This window comes from Homo sapiens, chromosome 19 (genome assembly GCF_000001405.40).
Source record: "Homo sapiens chromosome 19, GRCh38.p14 Primary Assembly".
Classification (NCBI taxonomy): domain Eukaryota; kingdom Metazoa; phylum Chordata; class Mammalia; order Primates; family Hominidae; genus Homo; species Homo sapiens.
The window spans coordinates 51,861,631-51,886,774 of record NC_000019.10 but is presented as its reverse complement, the minus strand read 5'-3'; the positions used below and the strand labels follow the sequence as shown (position 1 = coordinate 51,886,774).

At 41.7% G+C, this 25,144-nt stretch overlaps 1 protein-coding gene and 1 pseudogene across 16 annotated transcripts in view, besides 1 other annotated feature; both read left to right on the top strand.

Moving 5' to 3' along the window:
* The window catches only part of ZNF577 (zinc finger protein 577), an 83,510-nt gene that overhangs the window by 1,177 nt on the left and 57,189 nt on the right, over nucleotides 1–25,144 (top strand). For 5 of the 16 annotated variants that reach the window (NR_163433.1, NM_001370457.1, NM_001370452.1 and 2 more), the window contains 4 exons: nucleotides 5,898–6,096; nucleotides 6,374–6,452; nucleotides 8,260–8,386; nucleotides 9,398–9,493. Coding sequence is in view for 12 of the 16 variants with exons in the window: in NM_001370457.1 (NP_001357386.1) it covers nucleotides 6,393–6,452; nucleotides 8,260–8,386; nucleotides 9,398–9,493 (283 nt within the window). In the remaining 4 variants the exon portion in view is untranslated. Of the gene's footprint in view, nucleotides 1–4,013; nucleotides 5,819–5,897; nucleotides 6,097–6,373; nucleotides 6,453–8,259; nucleotides 8,387–9,397; nucleotides 9,494–13,068; nucleotides 19,728–25,144 lie in introns of those variants that run through there. The other 11 variants (NM_032679.3, NM_001370447.1, NM_001370448.1 and 8 more) reach the window with 5 other exon arrangements.
* Nucleotides 6,551–7,071: an enhancer, noted in NCBI's record as "NANOG hESC enhancer chr19:52382957-52383477 (GRCh37/hg19 assembly coordinates)". NCBI's record gives its function as "activates a minimal SCP1, AML or CMV promoter by ChIP-STARR-seq in naive H9 embryonic stem cells {active_cell/tissue: H9 hESC(naive)}" and the evidence as "EXISTENCE:reporter gene assay evidence [ECO:0000049][PMID:30033119]".
* On the top strand, nucleotides 23,372–25,116 carry LOC100419706 (zinc finger protein 84 pseudogene; annotated as a pseudogene).

Genomic DNA, 25,144 nt, shown 5'->3' with positions numbered 1-25,144 from the left:
TCATAGTTTCTTTTTCATGGAATCATTATGAAGATTAAGTGAGCAAATGTTCTTTAAGTATGTTCAAAGTGTAGTACTAGGTACGTAGTATGGTCTGAATAAATAATTACTGTGATTTATCAAGTTTTTATTTCTCTTTCCTAAGGGCTTTTGACCATTACAATTATTTTCATTTATTTTTTTCTCTTTAAAATTTTCTTTGATTTGTGTTGCTCTATTTCCCAATTTCATGTATTCCTGAGGGAATAAACCATACTTGTCAATAATGGTTTGTTCTTTTAATATGAGACTGGATTTTATTTGCTAAAATTTTATTTAATATTTTTGCATCAAAAAATGAAAAGATATCTTGGATTAGCTTCGGAATAATCCATAATCCATTGCTGGAGAGGGACTGAATGGTGGTATAGATAAAACAAAATTAGATGTGAGTTCGTCATTCTTGAAGTCACATGATGAATATGTGGAATTTGAGTATACTGTTCTTTTGCTTGAAATTTTTCATAGTAGAAAGTTAAAAAATTTTTTTGCCTATACATTTATAAGAGAAATTGGTCTCTTAAGTTTTTTTCAAGTGATTATACTTGAAAATCACCAGGTTAAAAAAATAGAATAATGTAGCATCCCAGAAGCCCTCATCTTCTCTCTCCTCTCCAAAGGTAATTATTATCTTAAAAACATCATAGATGTGCTTGGTTGTCATCTTTATATAAATGAAATCCTAAGGTACACATTCTTTTGTGGCTGGCTTCTTTTGCTTAATATTTTTGTTGTGAAAATCATCTAAGTTGCTGCATATAGCAGTAGCTCGTTTCTTTTTCATTACTGTGTAGTATTCCATTGATGATTATACCCCATATTATCCATTCCACTATCAAGAGACATTGTTATGGCTTATGGGAGTTATGAGTATTGTTGATATGAACGTTTTTCTACATGTCTTTTGGTGCATAAAAGTTCTATTGAGGGCTGGGCATGAGAGCTCACGCCTGTAATCCCAGCACTTTGGGAGGCTGAGGCGGATAGATCACCTGAGATCAGGAGTTCGAGACATCTGGCCAACATGATGAAACCCCATCCCTACTAAATACAAAAATTAGCAGGGCGTGGTAGCGGGTGTCTGTAATCCCAGCTACTCAGGAGGATGAGACAGGAGAATCACTTGAACCCAGGAGACAGAAGTTGCAGTGAGCTGGGATCATGCCATTGCACTCCAGCCTAGGCAACAAGAATGAAACTCCATCTCAAAAAAAAGTCAATAGAGCATATACTTAGTGTGTTAAGTATAGAGGAATGGAGTATGCTAGACACAAGGAGAAACCGCAAATGCCCAATCATAATGGGAAATTCTTAACATACTTCTCTCAGTAACTGAGAGAACAGGCAGACAAAAAGCTAAAAGGGTATAGATTAACCATTGCTGGCAAACTTTCTGTAAAGGTGCAGACAGATGACAAATATTTTAGTCTCTGCCGGCTAAATGGTCTTGTCTGCATCTACTAGGTTCTGCAATTATAGAATGAAAGTAGCTGTACAGAATGTGTAAACAAATGGGTGTGGCTGTGTTCTGATAAAACATTATTTACAAAAACATTCAGCTAACCCACAATAGTCCCAACCCCTGAAAGGTTAGAATGACATACCTAATTAACAAACTTGACCAATATAAAACACTGCACTCAATAATTTTCCTCAGATGCACATAGGACATTTATAAAAAGTCACCGTATGGTTGGCCATCAGGCAAGTCTAAATACATTTCAAATGATTAAAACCATATAGAATATTTTCTCTAACTATAGTGGAATTAAGCTATAAATCAATATCAAAATGATTTATTCACCATAGAATAGTCATGTGACTTTTTGGAACTATCAATTCAGAACATGCTGTTTTCTTGTCAGAATGATTGTTAATTATGCCATACGCTTCTAAATAATCTGAGTTCAAAAAATCACAGTGGAAATATTTTCAATTGCATTTTAATAAGAATTCTACATGTAAACCCTTGTTGAATTTAACCTAAGCAGTCAGTGGAGGAAATTTATAACCTTGAATGCAAGTATTAGAAAAGAAGGAAGGATGAAAATCAATGGAAAAGCACCTATCTCTATAATTCTTTTTTTTTTTATTCTATTGATTTGTGTTTGGAAATGCTGGTTTTATATAATTGTTAGAGAGGCTTCACTTTTTCTGTGATTGATGAATGTTACATAATATTGGAGTCATCTCTGTACTGTAAAGATTAGATAGAACTCATCAGGCTCTGATGACTCTAACTTTTTTTCATGGAAATTGAGTATAATATTTACCCATAACTTAGCTTCAATGGTTATCAATTCATATTCATCTGTCATATCAGTCATATTTATCTGTGCCTCCACTTTTGTTTTAGTCTGGAGACTTTCATAGCAAATCCAAGGCTTCATGCCTTGAAACTTGTACGTATCCCAGTATGAATCTCTAACCAGTAAGGTCATTAAAAAAATTTATAACCACTAGACCATTTCCTTTTTGTTTTTTCTTTTACAGACAGGATCTTGCTATGTTGCCCAGGCTGGTCTTGAACTCCTGGGCTCAAGCAGTCCTTCTGCCTCGGCTTCCCAAAGTGCTAGGATTACGGGTGTGAGCCACTTCACCCATCCTAGACCATTTTCAGTGTATCCAAGTTAATAATAATTTCTTTCCTTATCTTTTTGGGTGAGTGGACTCTCACTCTGTCACCGAGGCCGGACTGCAGTGGCGTTATCTTGGCTCACTGCAATTCCCACTTCCCAGGTTGAAGCAGTTCTCCTGCCTCAGCCTCCCGAGTAGCTGGGCTTACAGGCATCTGCCACCACACCAGGCTAATTTTTGTATTTTTTTGTAGAGATGGGGTTTCTTCCTGTTGGCCAGGCTGGTCTTGAACTCTTGACCTCAAGTGATCTGCCCATGTCGGCCTCCCAAAGTACTGGGGTTACAGGTGTGAGCCACTGTGCCCAGCCTATTTCTTTAGTTCATTGAATAGTTAGTCCACATTCAGTTTTTTTCTGATCATCTCATCATTGTCTTTTAACATTGGATTGTTTGAATCATGATCCAAATGATGTGGGTGCATTCGATTTGCTTGTTGTATCTCTTAGATCTCTTTAATTCTATAACAGCTCCCCCTTTTTTTTTCTTTGTTTTTTTTGCCCTCATGCCTCTTCATATGTTGCAGTAGGAAGTACACAGCACCATCCATGAAGGATTCTTACCTAAAAAAATTGAACATGGGACTAATCAAACCTCTAAGTTGAACTACTCACTTAATTAAAAGGAAAAACTGGGAGTTGGGTAGGTAGAGAACAACAAGTTAAACTATACCATGAGGCTGGGAGCAGTCGCTCATGCCTGTAATCCTAGCACTTTGGGAGGCTGAGGTGGGAGGATTGCTTGAGGCCAAGAGTTCAAGACCAACCTGGCCAACATAGCGAGACCTTGTCTCTATAAAAAAAAAAAATTTGGCCAGGCACAGTAGCTCACACCTGTAATCCCAGCACTTTGGGAGGCTGAGGCAGGTGGATCACAAGGTCAGGAGTTCAAGACCAGCCTGGCAAAGATGGTGAAGCCTCGTCTTTACTACAAATACAAAAATTAGCCGGGCGTGGTGGTGGGCACCTGTAATCCCAACTACTCAGGAGGCTGAGGCAGAGAATTGCTTGAACCCGGGAGGTGGAGGTTGCAGTGAGCTGAGATCGCGCTACTGCACTCTAGCCTGGCGACAGATTGAGACTCCTTCTCAAAAAAAAAAAAAAAAAAATTTTTTTTAAAAAGCCCACACAAAATGATACCCTGATACAGCAGTCAGCCATATCCAAAGGTAGGACATCATATGGGAGAAATCACCTGTTTCCTTCCTCCCTGCTTCATTCCTCCCAAAAGCAGATAAGGCTGAGGGCTTGTAATGGTTTGGAAGCATCCTAACTTTTATTTGAAGTGGAAGCCTTTTTTTTGCCTTTTGTTTTTTTTGAGACAGGATCTTGCTGTGTTGCCCAGGTTGGGGTGCAGTGATGCGGTCATAAACTCAATTCAGCCTGGAACTCCTGGGCTCAAGCGATCCTCCTGCCTCACCGTCCTAAGTACCTGGGACTACATGCATGCACCACCATGCCTGGCAAATTTTTAATTTTTTTTTGTAGAGACAAGGTCTTGGTATGTTGCCCAGGCTGGTTTTGAACTCCTGGCCTCAAGGAATTCTCCTGCCTTCACCTCCAGAATTGCTGCAATTACAGGCCTGAGCCAACACAGCAGACCCTAGTTTTTTTTTTTTTTTTATTGGATACTGTTGGCTGCCAATCTGACAACCAAGCCCCCTTTCTTAAGAAAATTCCTCTTTAATTTAGGTAGTGTCCTCTGGACATTTGACCTGAACCTCAGTTCAGTAGGAAATCCAGATTATCCTTACCAGTCAGGGTGGTATCATTGCCCTTCTCGGTTACATTGCCATGTTCTCCGCGTGAGTATTTGGTGCAATTCTGATGTATTATGTATGAGGGAAAGCCTGCCATGAGCTTCTGGGAATGGTTGGATCCTGGATTTTTCAACCCTGGAGATCTCAGCTCCAACCCATTCATGCGTAATGGCCTTTTCTACCTCTTAGCTATCCATATGGATTTCTGCATTTGGGTTGGGTACCACTGTTTTTGGACTGGTCCTGTAGGGAGGCTAGACTGAAGGGCTGGGGCTGGGATGAAGCGGTCTCAGGATTGAAGGTAGAGGAGGTTTGCATCTTGACCAGTGCGTTTACCAGTGGGTCAGAAAATGGCTTGGAGATCAGCTCTCTGGGTGTAAAGGATACAGGCTTGCTAGAGAGTCTTGAGAATGACTTGCTGGGATGACAGCAAAATTCAAGTTGTTCTCACAGTGTGGGTGTTCTCAGAGTGTGAGTTTCTAGAGTGGTTCTTGGGGAGACTGATCTCTGAACTGCTGCTTCTGGGGCAAAGATGGGACCGCCTTTGCTTTCCTGTCTGTGTGGAAGGAGCAGGCTGAGCATCCACACTGAATATTGCATTAGGAGATCACAGGCCCTTGTTTGTGTAGCTGTGACTATGTGGCCACCCCGCAGTGTAAAGTGCTGGGAAGTAAAGTTCTAAAAGTGGGTAGGAAAGAGAACAAATTTGCACTGTAAGGCTGTTGTAGGAGGGAAGTATCACAAGGGAGAGACCCCAGATGTAGATTCAAGTTCCCATGCTACTAATGAGGAAGAATGTTAACCTGCACAACACACGTTGTCTCAGCAAGCCTCAGCTTACTCATGTTTAGGATGGAAATAATAATGAGTACCTTATAAAGTAGTATCGAGGGTTTAGTAAGACAGTGCTTATGGTTTGTATGATTAGTAAGACAGTGCAATAAACCAAAAATTTAGGAGCATGTGGCTGCCGGTGGTGATTTTAAGTCAGTTTCTTGAGCCACCACTTCTTTTATGTTTTTATTCTTAGAGACAGAGTCTTGCCATGTGTCCAGGCTGGTCTTGAACTCTGGAGCTCAGGTGAGATCCACCCATCTCAGCCTCTACAATAGCTGGAACTCTAGGGCACATGCCACCATGTCTGGCTTTACCACTTCCTTCATTGTCTTACCTAAAACTGATATATGTGAGAACTTGGCAGTGGACAAGACCATAGGTGGTTTTTGTTTACTTTCTCCTGTTTCACATCCACTCTATTTCTGACATAACCAAAAAAAAAGGCATTCCTCTTGCACATTCCATATCTTCCTCTGGATCACTGCCCCATGATGTAATGGCTTCCAGGGTGTTAAGGAGACAGATGAAATATTGGAACCTGATGTTAATGTGAGTCCAGATGGCAATTGGAGACTTGTGATCCTAGGAGCATGTCTTCTTATCATTGAATTTGGTCTTGAATCCACAGGTTCTGGCCTATAGGAACAAGACATTTTCAGTAATGGAAGAAGGAGCTTCCAGGCTGGGGAAGATCATCATTTCCAGTGGTAGCTTGACCTGAGATGATACCTGACCACCACTTCTGGGAAGGCCCAGAATAGACAGAAGAGAGAGAACATACTAGAGTTGCTAGCCCCTAAGAGTTGAACGAAATGGGCAAGGCCCAGGTGAGGTTTGTTTTACCTATTTTGTCGTTTGTTTCCCAATGGGTCTGTGGAAGCTTGTAAAAGACAGTCTGGTTAAATGAGATAGTGTATGCTGATAAAAATCAGGATCTGTGGGAAAATAAGTTTAAGTTGGAATCTTAAAATCCTGGCAAATTAAGAAACAAGATATATGGATCAGGGGGTTTGTGAAAGTTCTTAATGTCGGAACATAGCTAAGTGACTGTTAAGACCCTGTGGGTTTTCTCTGCTTTAAACTGTGTCTCCTTTTTTTTGGCAGCTGAAATAACAGGAAACACATGAAAAATGCCACGATTGTAATGTCTGTGAGGAGAGAGCAAGGCAGTTCTTCAGGGGAGGTAAATTTGTCATTGCTGTGAGAGCTTGAGAAACTTCTTTCCTTCAGAGAGCTTTTGTGGTTGACGGTATCCTCAAAGTCAGCCTTGTAATAAAGGCATGGGATGTTTTCTATGGCTTTTTCCTGTTGTTTAGTGGGGTAAGCTAAGGAGTAATGCCAAAGGAAAACTGGATTGGACAAAATTCTTCGAAAATAGCGTGCCTTGAAAATAGAGGCTTCTGGTCATCTGACTTTGCCCAGTGATAAAGCCTGGAGTATCCAGTAGAATGAATGGGCTGCTTGACCTTTGAATGATCCTCCCTGAAGAAGAATTCTCTCATCCAGATTTTTGTTATTGAGACAGCAGGAGACAATTAACAGCTCCATTCTTTGGTAACAGCTTGGAATGCAGATACTGACAATGCTTCTTTCTTACCTTCTTAACTCCAGGTTCAAAAAACAAAGCACCAGTTCGGCTTGTTTTGCTTTTTCTATGTTTAATTACTGAAATGATACATGGCTACATTTGCACGCAAGAGATTCAAGCAAACAGAAGCATTTGTATCAAAAGACAGTATCTCCTTTCACCCTTTTTCTGCCCAAACTTCAACCCAAAGGATACTAAATAAGTGTTCATAGTTTGGGTCTCTATCTAGTTCCTCCCTGTGATTGACATCTGGTAGAATATATTCATATTTATGTACATTTATGTATACATACTTGTGTATACTTATACATATGTAATTATAAATATTATTACTTTTTTTCTCCCCCCAAGTTGGAGTCTTGCTGTGTCGCCCAGAGCTGGAGTGCAGTGGCGCAATCTTGGCTCACTGCAACCTCTGCCTCCTGGGCTCAAGCAATTCTCCTGCCTCAGCCTCCTGAGTAACTGGGATTACAGGTGCGTGCCACCACACCCTGCTAATTTTTGTATTTTTAGTAGAGATGGGGGTTTCACCATGTTGGCCAGGCTGGTCTCGAACTCCTGACCTCATGAGCCCCCTGCCTCAGCCTCCCAAAGTGCTGGGATTACAGGCGTGAGCCACCATGCCCAGCCATATTATTACTTTTTTTTTTTTTTTCCTCTTGAGACGGAGTCTTGCTCTGTCGCCCAGGCTGCAGTGCAGTGGCGCAATCTTGGCTCCCTGCAAGCTCTGCCTCCCGGGTTCATGCCATTCTCCTGCCTTAGCCTCCCAAGTCGCTGGGACTACAGGTGCCCACCACCATGCCCAGCTAATTTTTTGTATTTTTAGTGGAGATGGGGTTTCACTGTGTTAGCCAGGATAGTCTTAATCTCCCGACTTTGTGATCTGCCCACCTCGGCCTCCCAAAGTACTGAGATTACAGGTGTGAGCCACCACGCCCAGCCGTATTATTACATTTTTAAAATATGTCTTAGATCATATATTATTTGGGAGCTTAATTTTTTGCATTTAAGAGACTGCCTTGGAGATCATTGATAATCATGTGGGTATGTATACATCTACCTCATTGATTTTAACATTTTTGCAGTATATTATAGCATGGAGGTGCTGTAATTTAACCCTGTCTGCTTTTGATAGACATTTAGATTATTGGTAAGTTTTTCATTATGAGAAACAAAGGAATAATGAACAGTCTTATTACATGTTGTTTCATATCTATGCTAGTACTGCCTTCGTGCTTTTAGGGTAGGCAGAATTGGTGGAATTCCATGGTCCTTTGGTATGTGAAATAGCCATGGTGTGCATACGTTGTCATGGAGAAAAGGATCAAGACATGTCCCCGTCCCTCTTCTCCGCATCATCTATTGTTATCCACCTCAGATTGCATTGGAATTGTTATTATAGGGGTCATTGTCATTCGAAGATGTGGCTGTGGGCTTCACCAGGGAGGAGTGGCAGTTTTTGGACCAGTCTCAGAAGGTCTTGTACAAGGAAGTAATGTTGGAGAACTACATCAACCTAGTATCAATAGGTAAGGACAGCATTGCCGTCACTTACCTTTTCTTTCTTATTTGGTGACCACTGTACGGTCCCATAAATATTTAATGGTTTAGACTAAAGTATTATATGTTATAGATTTTTTGTTGTGGTGGTAAAATATATAACATAAAATTTACCGTCTTAACCATAAGCGTGCAGTTCAGTGGGTTAAATGCATTCGCGCACATAGTGTTATGCAGCCACCAACACTACCTTCTGTCTTCTAAAACTGAAACTCTGTACCCACAAAACAACAACTACTCATTCCCCCACTTCTCCCCAGCTCCTGGTGACCACCATTCACTTTCTGTCTTTAGGATTTTGACTTCTCTAAGTACCTCGTATAAGTGGAATTATATAGTGTCTGTCTTTTTGTGTCTGGCTTATTTCACTTATTATGATGTTCTCAAGGTTTATCCATGTTGTAGCATGTGCCAGAGTTTCCTTTTTAAGGCTGAATAATATTCTTTTGTATATATATATACCACCTTTTGCTTATCCACTTATCTGTTAAGGAACACTGGGTTGCTTCCATGTTTTAGCGCTTGTGAATCATGTTGCTATGAATATGGGTGTACAAATAATCTCTTTGAGACCCTGCTTTCCATTCTTTGGGGTATATACCCAGAAGTGGAATTGCTGGGTGATATGGTCATTCCATTGTTAATTTTTTGAGGAACAGTTTTCCACAATGTCAGTACCATTTTACATTCCCACCAAGAGTACACAGGGTCCCAGTTTCTCCACATCTTTGCCAACAATTGTTATTTTCTGTTTTTGTTTGTCTGTTTGTTTTTTTGATAGTAGCCATCCTAATGGGTATGGGTGTGTCACGCAGACTGTTATTTTCCTCCCTGGCACGAAGTGGTTGTGCTCTTTTCCTGAGTGAAAGAGTTTTGCTTTATCAAAGTGCAAATGCTGTGGTTCCTGAGACATAACCCTCTCCATCTTCATCCATTCCCCAAGCACACGTGCCAAGTGTTCAGTGATCTCCCATTTACAGGGTATCGAGGCACCAAGCCAGATTCGCTCTTCAAGTTGGAGCAAGGAGAACCCCCAGGGATAGCAGAAGGAGCAGCCCACAGTCAAATCTGTCCAGGTAAGTGAGTGAAAACTAAGAAAATGGGGAGAAATGGCATGCAAATCCCAGCTGGTCGGAGAAGGGTTGATGCTTTTAAAGTGTTCTTTAGAGGACTTCACAGTAGTTGGTGGCCCAGAAACCTAATCAGCCTTTCTGCATCTGTGTCCATCCCTAATAGAGCCGGCTCTCAAAGGATAATGTCTTCCTTTCTTCTATTTTCTGGATCTGATTTCAGTCCATGTCATCGAAGACCTTGAATTCTTACCTGGTTCCATTCTTCCCAGCCTGCTCCTGACTTTTGCCCCTTCCTTACTTGCTTTGAAATTCCCCTCGTAACCCATCTGGATTATGTTGCCTTTTTTTTTTTTTTTTTGAGACGGAGTCTCGCACTGTGGCTGGGCTGGAGTGCAGTGATGTGATCTTGGCTCACTGCAACCTCCACCTCCCAGGTTTAAGTGATTCTCCTGCCTCAGCCTCCCGAGTAGCTGGGATTACAGGTGCCGGCCACCAGGCCCGGCTAATTTTTTTGTATTTTTTGTAGAGACGAGTTTTCACTACATTGGCCAGGCTGGTCTCAAACTCCTGACCTCATGAACCACCCACCTTGGCCTCCCAAAGTGCTGGGATTTCAGGCATGAGCCACTGCGCCTGGCTGGATTGCATTACTTTTAGCACTTCTGTCGCTTAAAAGTGTATCCCGGCCCCTCTGGAAAGGCCTGATTTCCTTCACTGAAAATCACCTCACCTTAGCTCACGTCAATGCCTCCACACCATGTCTCTTGGGGCATCTCTGTCGACTTACTCACCCACTGCTCCCCGCCTTTCCAGCTTCTGTTTTTTTTTTTTATCTTCTGCTGATTCTCCTGGTAGAAGTTTAATTCACTCTCAGGGCCTGAGCTCTCTGGCCCCTGCTGGAGACTCGCAAAGTAGCATGTCTGCTACTAACGTCTCATCTGCACTCTAACCCGCTGCGTGTCGCCAGCCACCAGGACAGCTCTCCGAATATTTCCTTCTTCCAGGATGTGAAACCAGAATCCTCCTTTCTCCCAGTTGTTTCTACCATCATGTAGTATACTCACATATACTAAAGATTTCAGCTGTGTCTTCTGACAAATAGCTTCATGCAGATATCTCCTTTTCTGTAATCTCACCTGCCTTCTTATTCTATATTTTGCCAGCACCCTGGACGAGTATTCTGTGAAATTCTTCTTCCCTCAGCTTCAGGGTTAGAAACTGTGATTCTCTTTCCTCCTGGAAAATCCTTTCCCTCCCTGTGCATTATATTTAGGTTCTGCTGTATTGCTCATCACTCCGGTGCCTGGTCACCTTGGAGTTGCCTTGAGTCTTCTCGGTTTACTCTGTTCTACGTCTGAATGTCTCAGCTGCTCCTGTTAATTTTTATTGTTTTGAACACTCTACTCTTGAAGTCCCACTTCACAGTAGGCCATGGTAGTAGAGGTTCTTATCGCCTCCATTGCTGCACGTTTGACTGACTTCTCTTTTTCTGTGAGTTCCATTTGATGTGATGGCTTCATTCCCCTCTGGGCAGGGGCCATCAAAGCACTGGAACTTGATGAGAAGACATGAGGAGTGAGTGTTGCTTGAAGAAAGAAGAGGTCCACATATATTCAGAGATTCAAAAGAGGAGAACCCAGCCACATAGAAAAAGTATCAGGGTTGTGGTGGGAGAGTCAGAAGATGTCCATGAAATAAGTGACAAAATTATTCCAAGGAGGAGGAAGACATATATTTTATTGAATGCTACAGATAATGTCAAATAACATGAGGACTGACATCTGTGCATTTGATCACGTTGCATTTTTACATCCAGATACTGCCCTCTTTCGCTGTCGGCTCTTGTTTTACTTCCAAGAACTAGTTTTTGACTATGCCAGGGCACATTTGGAGCTCTCTCTTTTTTTTTTTTTTTTTTTTTGTGACAGAGTTTTGCTTTTGTTGCCCAGGTTGGAGTGCAGTGGCCCAATCTTGGCTCACTGCAACCTCTGCCACCCAGGTTCAAGGGATTCTCCTGCCTCAGCCTCCCGAGTAGGTGAGATTACAGGCACCTGCCACCACGCCTAGCTAATCCTTTTTTTTGTATTTTTAGTAGAGACAGGGTTTCAGCATGTTGGCCAGACTGGTCTTGAACTCCTCCCATCCACCTCGACCTCCCAAAGTGCTGGGACTACAGACGTGAAGCACTGCGCCTGGCCACCCTCTTTTCTGACTTTTATCTCCTTTGTGTCTATGCTGCACTAACTTAGTAATGGTCATATATTGTTTTGTGTGTGTGTTTTACTGGTTGGTATGAGGCTTCTTTTACCCTCATTTTATTAAATGGCACCAGCACCTACATAGGTGTTTTAAGCCACATACTGAGCAGTTATCCTCAATTCTTCGCTTTTCTGCTGGGAACATGTGTTCTAAGAGTGAATCCTATCTTTTCCTCCTCCATACTTATGTTCTTGTTTTTTCACATTTCTCCATCTCCATTGTAATTATTCCTGATCAAGCCATCTGAATTCTGCCATAACCTCCAGCATATTCCCTTCTATAATTTCATCTTTTCAATTCATTCTCCATAGGACAGTCATGTTTTGGAACTGTCAATTCAGAACATGTTTTCTTGGCAAAAAAATGTTTGGTGGCTTACTGCCATTGTTCTTAGCATAAATTCCAGTTTCTAACAAAGTCTTCCTCCAAAATCTTCATGTTTTTAATCCTGCCAGCCTTGCCAAACTTTTGTATTTCTACTTCACTCAAGCTCAGGATATTCCGGGTAAACCAGCTTCTCTTACATTTTTTTTTTTTTATCACACCTAAGTTTTTTCTGCCTCTGGGTTTTCACACTGGCTGTTCCCTTTTCTTGGAATGTTCTTTATTTTGTTCTTTGCATAACATTGCTTTTTCTTACCCTATGATGTGAGCCACTTCCTTTGTACTGTTCTTCACATTCTGTAATTTTCTTACGTCTTTGCATACCTGTTGATTCTCTGTCTTTACCTGAATGACAGGTTCATGGAGAGAGAGAATAATGATTAGTCACTGTAGTATCCCAAATACCAGTCTATTCAGTGTTTGTTGGGTGAATACATCCATCCCCTCCATCTATTTTTGATTTATTCCAGTTGCAATGTGTTTCTGTTTCTATTCTGTCTCCATTTGCAAGGTCCGATTTGGGAGGCAGCCCAAGTTGTATTGATTCATTATAGAGTATCCATTGTTGTTGCTGAAGTTGCTGTATTTTCCTTTTGCTGTTTTATAGTATCATCCTTTTTCACAGAGTGTGAGGTACATTACTCTGAGACTGAGATCTTATAAAAGCCAGCCAAAACCATGGCATTTTTGCACCTTCTGCCACCTCCACAAAAAATTATCATGGATGTTCATATTGTGCTTTTTCCTAGGAGAAATTTGGGGGGTTTACCATATGCAGTGGTACCCAGAAAACCAAAATGAGCTTAAACATTTTGAAAGATGTCAACAAAGTTATGCCCTTGGAAATAAGTTTGGTTTATGTAAGAGCATTGTTCCTTTAATGTAAAGACACAATAAGTTTGGCTCGCATTGTAAAAGTTTGAAATCTCATTTAGGTTTTGTAATCCAGAGTAGAAGATATGCAGGAAAAGATTCTGATGCATTTGGTGGATATGGGAGATCATGCCTCCATATCAAGCGTGACAAAACTCTTACTGGAGTTAAATACCATAGATGTGTTAAACCCAGCAGCCCTAAATCACAGCTCAATGACCTACAAAAAATTTGTGCAGGAGGGAAACCACATGAATGCAGTGTGTGCGGGAGAGCCTTCTCCAGGAAAGCACAGCTTATTCAACATCAGAGAACTGAAAGAGGAGAGAAACCCCATGGATGTGGTGAATGTGGGAAAACATTCATGAGGAAGATTCAGCTCACTGAGCATCAGAGAACTCACACAGGAGAGAAGCCCCATGAATGTAGTGAATGTGGAAAAGCCTTCTCCAGAAAGTCACAGCTCATGGTCCATCAGAGAACCCATACAGGAGAGAAACCCTACAGATGCAGCAAATGCGGAAAAGCCTTCAGCCGGAAGTGCCGGCTCAATAGACATCAGCGATCACATACTGGAGAGAAACTCTATGGGTGCAGTGTGTGTGGGAAAGCCTTTTCTCAGAAGGCATACCTCACTGCACACCAGAGACTTCACACAGGAGATAAGCCTTATAAATGCAGTGATTGTGGAAGAACCTTCTATTTTAAGTCAGACCTGACCAGACATCAGAGGATTCATACGGGAGAGAAACCTTATGAATGTAGTGAGTGTGAAAAAGCCTTTAGAAGCAAGTCGAAGCTCATTCAGCATCAGCGTACTCACACTGGAGAGAGACCATATTCATGCAGAGAATGTGGCAAAGCCTTTGCCCACATGTCAGTCCTCATTAAACATGAGAAAACTCACATAAGAGAGACAGCCATAAATTCACTGACGGTGGAGAAACCTTCCTCAAGGAGTCATACCTCCTTATACATGAGCGAACTCATACAAGAGCAAAAGACTGTGAACACAGTACCTATAGAAATGCCTTCCTCAGGAACCCCGCCATTGTTAAACAAGAGTGAGCGCCTAGTGGGCAGAAATGTAGTGATTGTGGAACAACCTTTTCCAAGAAATCAAGCCTTTGTAGTTAATCAGGAATTTGAACAGAGAATAAGCCTCACAAATGAAGTGAATGTGGCCCCATCAGTAATAAATTATATCTTGTATCTTACAGATATTGTATCAGAATAAATCTTCTGATACCAGAAAGGTGGGAAAATCTTTAGTAGGAATCCTCCAGCCATTATATCCCAGAGAGCTCATTTAGGGCTGAAACACTGTGGAGGCAGTGGTTGTGGAGGACATTTCTGTGAGAAGTCAAACCTGTTAAACACCATTGAAATCATGTTGGGTAGAAATGCAGCTGTTATGAGGAAGTCTTTACCTGGAGATGATATCTCAATTGGTATCAAAAGAATTCTTACAGGAATATTTATGAAAGATTGTGATGGTGCTTTTAGCGCTAAATTGTGCCTCGTGTGCCAAAGAAACATAGACAACTGTAGAGGCAATGGATATGGAAAACATTTTTCGTAAAATATGGGAGAATTTGTAGAAAAGAAAAACTCTTGAAAGTAAGAAATGATGGCAACTCACCAAATTAACTCATGTATCATACTTTTATGTCTTGAGAGTCTTGGAGGGACGTGTTTAATGAAATCTTGAACCCCAGGAATAGTATTATGTAATGAAAACCTATGAATATAACAAATATGGAAGTAAAATTGTGTTAGTTTTTTATGAGTGTTGCACCAAACTAACACAAATTTAATGGCTTAAAACAACACAAAATCATTATCTTACAGTTCTGGAGGACTGAAGTCCAAATGCATCTCACGGGGCTACATCAAGCTGTTGACAGGGCTGCTTTTCTTTTTGGAGGCTCTAGGGGAGCGTCTTTCTTTGCCCTTCCAGCTTCTAGAAGCTGCCCAAATTCTGTGGTTTGGGGCCTCCTTTCAAAACCAGCAATGGCCAATCAGTCTTACATCACTCAAACACTTGAGTGTTCTGTCTCCCTCTTCCATGTTTGAGGACCCTTGTGATTACACTGTGAAAACCCAGATAAGCCAGGATAATCTCCCTATCTTATTATGAGGCAAGTATGTTAAGATTTTATTCTATAATCAGAGAATCTTATGCTATGATTGTTATATGTGAGCATTATAGATGCTCTTGAAATGTTAAAATCACATCAGCACTGGAAAATAACTCCTAAATGTCCAAAAAGAACATGAGATTTATGGTGCTTGAAATGTTGCTAAACGTAAATTTGTATCTATTCTGAAATTATATAAATTAACCTACCTGGCCAGGCACAGTGGCTCACACCTGTAATCTCAGCACTTTGGGAGGCCAAGGCAGGAAGATCACTTGAGCCCGCAAGTTTGAGACCACCCTGGGCAACATAGCGAGACTACCTCTACAAAAAAAAAAAAAAATAATAATAGCTGGACATGGTGGTGTGTGCCTATAGTCCCAGCTACTTGGGAGGCTGAGGCAAGATGATTGCTTGAGTCCAGGAGTTCTAGGCTGCAGTGACTGCAGTGAGCTATGATCATGCCACTGCACTACAGCGTGGGTGACAGAATAAGACTCTGACTCTAAAAAAGGGGGGAAAAGAAACTAACATACTTCATTATGAGTACGGAATGCATATGACATAATGCACCTGGATATTGACTAACTTTTTCATAGCCAACCCAAACAGTCCCTTTTTCTTTTACAGTAAATGTCTAATGTATATAATCTCCTGCCTTAAATATCTAAAAAAGATGCACAAAATATATGAATGAACTTCATCAGACATTGAGAAGTAAAGGGCTTAGGACAGCTTTCCATGACAGAAAGGAAACAATGAGATGAGCCTTATGATTGCCCCAGCTTAGTGCCTGGAGAAAGTTTCCAGTCTGCAGGATTGGGAGGAGAAACCCAAGCAGATCCCAGCCATCTCTCTGAATTGAGACAGAGTTTAGGGTTTGAGGAATTCAAGGTGGCCCAAATTCATGAATTGGATTATTGGAGAAGAGCTGCACTCAAGAATTGAGAGTTCTGTAGAGTTTCCCCCACAAGCCTTTTGAGTCATAATCAGCATATGTATGTGAGAAACCCCCCCTAGGCTGGAGGAAGAACAGGAAGAAATGAACACGCAGAAAAATCCTTGGATTACACACAAGCATTTCCACCAGCTGGAGTGGAAACGCCTCCTAACATTTGGAGAATCACAGTGGACCTTAAGTAAGGAGTATTGCCTCTGTGGGTGGCTCAGATTTGCTCTACAGTAAAGGCTGCCTCGAACTCTCCTCACAAAGCATACATGCAAGCCATGAAAAGGCCATACTTTCCAAGTAAGTTAGCAATTTTCCAAACAGAGACTAATAAAGAAATAGAAAGCAATCTACCAGTCAGTAATTGACCATGTCTGGCATCCAATACAAACTTACCCAGGTGTGCAAAGAAGCAGGAAAATATAACCCCATAACATGAAGAAAACTCAGTAGAGACCCAGAAGTGGCACACTTATAGCAGAAAAGGATGTTAGAAATAGCTGCTATAAATGTCCCATATGAATCAAGTGGATTATAAAAACTATAATTTACTGATGGGTTCCCCCCACCTGAACAAGGGGCAGATGAAGCTCAGTCTACGCACTGGACCCAATGCCCCTAGGATGTTAATCCTCCCAGGGAGGGACCAGAAGGAGGCAATTACCAGCAATCAGCACCAGGTTCCCTGAGAGGGAGAAGCAAGCTCAGCTGAATTTGTGCAGTGTAGTCTACCCGGTGTTTAGCCCCTCTTTGCCTTCTCTGGGAACTGAGGCTTTTGAACAGGGCTGCTGAGCTTCCTAGGAAGTGTAGTTTGGCCATGGGCAGTGCTTGAGACACCTGTGCTGGGCAGTTGAGGTTTATGGGAAGTACAGTTAGGAGGCCTAACAACTTATTCTAGTTAGCGGCTGGTGTGTCTTGACTGTTTAGCCCCTGTAGGGGTTTCTGGCACACATCTGCCTTTGGCCATTTTTCTCCACATTGAAGGGGTCCAGCCCGTCCACACCTGTGGGTGTTTCTCGTCAGGGGGGACGAGAGACTGAGAAAAGAAATAAGAAATAAGACACAGAGACAAAGTAGAGAAAGAACAGTGGCCCCAGGGGACCGGTGCTCAGCATATGGAGGACCCGCACCGGCACTGGTCTCTGAGTTCCCTCAGCATTTGTTGATCACTATCTCTACCATCTCGGAGAGGGGGATGTGGCAGGACTATAGGGTAATGGTGGGGAGAGGGTCAGCAGGAAACATGAGCGAAGGACTCTGTGTCATAAATAAGTTTAAGGAAAGGTGCTGTGCCTCGATGTGCACATAGGCCAGATTTATGTTTGACTTTACACAAATATCTCAGTGCAGTAAAGAACAGTATCGCTGCCAGCATGTCTCACATCCAGCCATAAGGTGGTTTTCTCCTATCTCAGCAAATAGAATGTACGATTGGGTTTCACACCAAGACATTCCATTCCCAGGGACGAGCAAGAGACAGATGCCTTCCTCTTATCTCAACTGCAAAGAGGCCTTCCTCTTTCACTAATCCTCCTCAGCACAGACCCTTTATGGGTATCGGGCTTGGGGACGGTCAGGTCTTTCCCTTCCCACGAGGCCATATCTCAGGCTGTCTCAGTGGGGAGAAACCTTGGACGATACCCAGGCTTTCTTGGGCAGAGGTCCCTGCGGCCTTCCGCAGTGCATTGTGTCCCTGGGTACTCGAGACTGGAGAATGGTGATGACTTTTACCAAGCATACTGCCTGCAAACACATTTTAACAAAGCACATCCTGCACAGCCCTAAATCTAGTAAACCTTGAGTCAACACAGCACATGTTTCTGCGAGCACAGGGTTGAGGCTAGGGTTACAGATTAACAGCATCTCAAGGCAGAATAATTTCTCTTAGTACAGATCAAAATAGAGTTTCTTATGTCTTCCTTTTTCTACATAGACACAGTAGCAGTCTGATCTATCTTTCTTTCCCCCACACACATGAGTGAATTCTATCTGGGTGTTCAAGGCAGTTGAAGACGGTAGTAGTCAGAACCTTAGCCGGTGCTTGCTGGGGCTTCTGTAGGCAACATTATGAGGGAATTGGCCTTGGGCATATTAATTCTGAGCTCATCTGGCAGTTCTGCTTTGGCTGGGGCAGTCTTTGGTGGGTCAGACCCAGTCGGTTCTTGGTGAGTCTGCCCTGCTGTGTGGCTGAGGTGGGAAGCAGTCCTACAGAATCCCATTGTTGTGTGGGACATGTTTGCCCTTGTTCTTCCTGCTCTCATGGGCCAGATGGATCCCATGTTGGAGGCTGGGGAGGGGACTCAGGGCATGGGTCTTACCTAACCTTACTCTGCTGACTTTCTCCTTTTACACCCCAGATGAAACTTTTTTAGGTGTGTAGGTGTCTGTGTCCTATGGAGTGTCCGGAACTGGCCTATTAACAACTGCATCACTGTTAACAGAAAGCTTCTAGAACAGTGTCTACAATGCAGTGCTTTGAGGACTAAGTCAGCAACTTTTAAAAAGAACTTCTATTACAAGTGGGAAGATGATTTATGTATAAAGAAATTTGACACACTTAAAAACCTACAACTGCTGGTGCACAGATTTACAGATTCCATCCACTTTGTCTTGATTCCCAGTTTAGAACTTGGGTCTGTAAATACTAGAACCTGCCAGACCTCAGAGTAGAAATCCAGTGTCAGCTCTCCCACCAGAACTTGCCTGGCTCTGATCCCATGCAAGGGAGAAGACATTCCAGGTTCTCATTGCCTTTTTCTGTATCTGTATTTAGGGGTGGGGGTAGAGGACTAGAAATTCCTCATTGGTGCTGATTAGTCTGACCTCTGAGGGCTTTTTCCAACCCTAGCTTTGTTCTTTTTGTTTGTTTGCTTGTTTTTGTTTTTTGTTTATTTGAGATGGAGTTTCGCTCTTTTGCCCAGGCTGGAGTGCAGTGGCGTAATCGTGGGTCACTGCAACCTCCACCTTCCGGTTTCAAGTGATTGTCCTGCCTCAGCTTCCTGAGTAGCTGGGATTACAGGTGCCTGCCACCACACCCGGCTAATTTTTTTTTTTTTTTTTGTATTTTTAGTAGAGACGGGGTTTCATCATGTTGGCCAGTCTGGTCTCGAACTCCTGACCTTGTGATCCGCCCACCTCAGCCTCCCAAAGTGCTGGGATTACAGGTGTGAGCCACCGCGCCTGGCCAGCTTTGTGTTTTTAAAAAGTTGTCCTTCATTAAGGGAGGGAAATTGAGTAATTGTCACAATTCTAAAAGCTGGGCCTCTCTCTGACATGTCTTCTTTTCTCTTGAAAAGAGATCTTTTGTCCGATGTTCAGAATCAGAAAAGACAATATCTAGATCATACCTTAGAAATGATATCCTTTTCCTAAGAACCGAAGAAAAAAACGATAAAAGCCCCGGTGAGGTTTTGCTTCTTTCTTTTGCCTTTCTTTCCAATGACTTTGCAAGGCTTAAGACAAATAACTATTAAATGGAAATACATACATTTGTAATTTAAAAATTTAAGGAAAACTAAACAGAAACCATAAAATCAAGATTCAGGTAAAGGTGGAATGAGGAAATGTAGCTTCATACAGAGTGCCTTAAGTGTGAATACAGGTGAATAAATATGTAAGAATGTATGATGTACTTAAGTTGTTTCTGATTCTTTCTTTTCTTTCTTCTTTCTTTCCTTCTTCCTTTTCTCTCTCTCTCTCTTTCTTTCTTCTTATCTCACTCTGTCACACAGGTTCAGTGGCACGATCATGGCTCACTGCAACCTCTGCCTCTTGGGTTCCAGTGATTCTCTTGCCCCAGCCTCCTGAGTAGCTGGGATTAAGGTGTGTGTCACCACGCCTGGCTAATTTTTGTATTTTTAGTAGAGATGGGATTTCACCATTTTGGCCAGGTTGGTCTCAAACTCCTGACCTCAGGTGATTTGCCCATCTCAGCCTCCCAAAGTGCTGGAATTATAGGCATGAGCCACCACAACTGGCCTGTTTCTGATGTTTCTGGTGTCAATAATGTATTAATTTTCTGTTGATGCCAAAACAGATTCTCACAAACGTTTAGCAGCTTGAAACAACACAAATTTATTGTCTCACAGTTCTTTAGGTCAGAAGTCTGGATTGGCTTGACTGGTTTCTTTGATCTGGGTTTCAAAGACTGAAGTCAAGGTGTGGGCCAACAGGGCTCTTATTGGAAGAATCTGGGAAGAATCCACTTCCAAGCTTATCCAGGGTATTGGCAGACTAATTCTGAGATTTGTTTCTTTGCTGGCTGTCAGCTGGGGGTGGTTCCTTATGTATTTATTTTACTTTTTTTTATTTTTAATTTTTATTTGAGACAGGTCTTGCTCTGTCACCCAGGTTGGAGTGCAGTGGTGCAATCTTGGCTCACTGCAGCCTCTGTCATAGTAGATGTTGAATCTGCCGAGCTGAAAGTGTGTCAGTTCCAGAAACATTTCTGTGCTGTTCATAGACACCTCCCATCAAGCCCAATTATAAGTGTTCAAGTCTTTGTCATTTCCCATAAACAGGCTCTTAAGCTACCAAACCAGATATCTTTAATTTTTTTTTTTTTTTAGATGGAGTCTTGCTCTGTCGCCAGGCTGGAGTGCAGTGGCGCCATCTCAGCTCACTGCAATCTCTGCCTCCCGAGTTCAAGCAATTCTCCTGCCTCAGCCTTCTGAGTAGCTGGGATTACATGCGTGTGCCACCACACCCAGCTAAGTTTTGTATTTTTAGTAGAGCTGGGGTTTTACCATGTTGGTCAGGATGGTCCCAATCTCCTGACCTCATGATCTGCCCGCCTCAGCCTCCCAAAGTGCTGGGATTACAAGTGTGAGCCACCGCACCCAGCCAGTGATATTTAATTTCAAACATGGAGAATAGAGGATAAAATGTGAGGTCAGTGCATTTCAGGTGAGTGAGAACCAACAAGATGGGAGACCTGGAAAGTAAAGGAGCTGACCATGAGGGTTGGACCCCTTCCAAATGTGTTTAACAGGGCAAAGACTTGGAAGGTGACTACAGATACCTAGATCATTGATGAGGCTCTCTTTTGTTTGGCGTTTCAAAGAAAATGTGCCTTTTTCTCTCTTTATATTGACTTAGATTCTCACAATCGACACATCATCACAGCACTGCCTTTTATCCTGGGGTAAGGATATTTGGCCTGATTTTTGTATTTCCTACAGACCTGAGTGAATCATATGAGAATGTATCAAAGCAACCTAGAAGGTGGGAGTGCTCACCACAGTGGTGTTCCTGTATATATGGTGTTAGAAATCTTTGGGAAGGCGCGGGCATGGTGGCTCACGTGTGTAATCCCAGCACTTTGGGAGGCCGAGGTGGGTGGATCACCTGAGGTCAGAAGTTCAAGACCAGCCTGGCCAACATGGCGAAACCCTGTCTCTACTAAAAATACAAAAATTAGCTGGGCATGGTGGCGAGTGCCCTGTAATCCCAGCTACTCCAGAGGTGCGGTTGGAGAATCACTTGAACCCTAGAGGCGAAGGTTGCAGTGAGCTGAGATTGCGCCATTGCACTCCAGCCTGGGTGACAAGAGCGAAACTCCGTCTCAAGAAAAAAAAAATCTTTGGGAAAGTTCATTGACTGTTGCATGCAGAATTAAAGAAGAATGAATCTGAAACAGAGTGACAGCACTTACATTTATGTGAAGAGCTGAGAAGACTTCATTTTATCTTGCTTCCCACAGATGTTGGTTCCTAAGACTTAAGTTGGCCTCTTTTCTGGGTACTTATTGTTTGAGCGTGATGGATGGACTTTTTCCATTCTCTGGGCATCTCCTTCTCCCAAAGCCTTCAGAGTTGGAGGGCGTAAGGGTGCTTCATCATTGGTAATTTCTTTTCTTTGTTCCCAGTGTGACCTCTTCGATTTCATGGACTTAACAATGCTATTTATATGTTGATGACTCACAGATTTCTCTCTACAGGCTAGATATTTCCTTATCCTCCTACATTTGCCTGGGAATTGCTTGGAGATCTAATAGCTAACTCAAACTTCAAGTCATCCTTGCTTCACCGTTTCACTCATCCCACAAATCCAGTCCATTTAGCAAGTTTAGACTTTACTTTCTCCTTATATCTCGAGGTCCTCTACTCCTTTCTCTAACAGTTATTTTCACTCAAGCTTCGATGTCCATTATCTCTTGCCAAAATTATGATAGTTTTCTCTAATATACTCTCAGTCCTTTACTCTTGTTTCTATTCTCCACATAATACCCTTAATGAATTTATTTTACTATTTTCATTTATGAAAATAAATGCGGGAGTCAGGGGCGGGAGTCAGGGGCAGGAGTCAGTGTTTCTAGCCCCTCACCTCCAAAATCCCTGAACATTAAAATAAACATCAGAAACATCTTGGTTCTTAAAAGACTTCAGATTTTGACAAAAGTGTTGCGGAAAGTAATTAAAGCTTCATATAAAAAGGTAAATCTTAGTTGGAGGATGGAAAGATCTAAATTATGGTCTAAAAAATGCTATATGATGTAGCAAATCTGTACTCATTCACAGGGTGCAAGCCTAAAAATATTCATGCCATAATATTTAAGACATGGTCAGTGTTAATTACTGATAAACATACACACAGGATGTTGCTTTTAAATTGGAAATCAGGACATGTCATCCTGCTCCCACTATCATTGGTAATGGCATCCTGTTACTGTTAGCACAAGATCCAAATTCTTTTCAGGATCCTCCTACAAGGGAGCATTCCCTGATTTCGGCCTAAACGTTTTTGTTTACTTATTAATGAAAAATGTTTTGGTATAACATACATATAATGTAATTATACAGCTAGGTAACTTTCTAGTCAGCACACTGTGCAACCAGCACCTAGATCAAGAATCTGAGTCCTGTGCAGAATGGCATTGGGTGAATATTACACTGTTTATCTCTTTTACATTCAGGCCATTATACTTAGTGTCCCTATGTATGTTTTCATCAATATCTTTATTTTTATTTTCTCCTTTTGAAAATGCTTGTCTCCAAATGGTCTAGATTTAATGAGATGTTCCAAAATGATACACAAAATTCTTGCACATTCTTTTTGCAAATTTCCCCAAAATATGATTTTACCAATTTGCTTTATTTTATCTATACACACACACCACACACAGGTACATATGGTTTTTCTGAACTCTACCCTAAAACCCAAGTGTGTATTTCATAGGAAGAAGAGCATTCTTTTGCATAATCAGAATACTGTGATCAAAATCAGAATATTGACATTGATATAGTATTATTATTTAAAATACAGAGCTTACTCAAATTTAACCATCTTACTAATATCTTTTTATGGTAAATGGGAAAAGAAGCCTTTTTCTGGACCTCTTCTTGTTATCTCACTTACTCTGTTGTGCGTACACTAGCTTTCATAACATCCAGAAGTCAGAGCTTGCTAATTATAACCAATTCTTTTTGGAAAGAAATCATATGGATGCAGTGAATGTGCAGTGAATACTTGTAAACTACTCATGACCATGCCTCAGAGAACTCATGCAGGAAACAAATCCCAGGAATCTCATGATTTTAGGAGAGCCCTTCCCAGTGAGTTAAAGCTCATTGCTCATCAGCAAACTCAAACAGGAGTGAGACCCTACTGATGCAATCAATGTCAAAAAGCCTTCATTACAAATTCAGGGCTTGTGTATCATCAGAAAACTCATCATAGAGAAGGGAAAGTCTGTACATGCAGCAAATGTGGAGAAGTTTTCCCTTGGAAGTCAGAACTCATTTTATGTCAAAGAAATCATTCAGGAGAGAGACCGTTCATTTGCAAAGTATGTGATAAAGGCTTTGTGGTTAGGACACATCTCACTGTACATCAGAGAGCTCACACAGGAGAGAAACCATATGCTTGCTCAGATTGTGAAAAAGCCTTCTCAAAAAAGGCTTTATTCATGATTCATCAGTGAATTCACACAGGAGAGATACCCTATTAATGCATTCAATGTCAAACAGCTTTGAAGACCAGATCTGAGCTCAGTTATCCTCAGAAAGTTCTTCATAGAAAAGGAAAATTCTATGGATGCAGTAAATGTGGGAAAGCTTTTCCTTGGAAGTCGAACCTCATTTTGCATCTCAGAACTCATTCAGGAGAGAGACCTTTCAGGTGCAAAGTCTATCATAAAGCCTTCATGGTTAGAACACAGCTAACTATACATCAGAGAACTCACACAGGAGAGAAACCATATGCTTGCTTGGATTATGAGAAAGCCTTCTTGAAAAAGGCTCAGCTTATGAAGCATCAGTGAATTCATACAGAAGAAAGACCCTATGGATGCAGTGAATGTCAAGAAGCTTTCATCTGGAAGTTGGATCTCAACAATCATAAGAAAACTCATCATGCAGTAAGGAAATCCCATGAATGCAGTGAATGTGGGAAGGTTTTATCCTCCAAAAAAAACTTTGTTATACATCAGAGAACCCATACAGGTGAGAAACCCTTCAAATGCAATGTATGTGATAAAGCCTTCACATCAAAGGGAAATCTCATTGTATATCAGAGAACTCATATAGGAAATAAATCATATGAATGCTCAGACTGTGATAGGGCCTTCTCCAGTAAGGTATATCTCATGACTCATCAGCCAATTCACACAGGAGAGAGACCCTATGATGCAATGAAGGTCAACAAGCTTTCACCCAAAAGACAGGTCTCAGTAAGCATCGAAAAACTTGCCATGCAAGAATGAAATCTTATGGATACAGTGGATGTGGGAAGGTTTTGTCCTGTAAGTCAACTCTCATTATATAACAGAGAACCTATACAGGTGAGAAACTCCTCAAATGTAGCATGTGTAATAAAGCCATCATAGTTAAATCCTGTCTCACTGTACATTAGAGAATTCATACAGGAGAGAAACCATATAAATGCAGTGATTGTAAGAAAGCATTCGCTACTTTGTAAACTCTCATTGGTCACCAGAGAACTCACACAGGAAAGAGGCCCTATAGATGCAGTGAATGTCAAAAAGCTTTACTCAGAAATCAGCTATTACTAATCATCAGAAACCCCAGCAGGAAGGAAGAAAGTCCATGC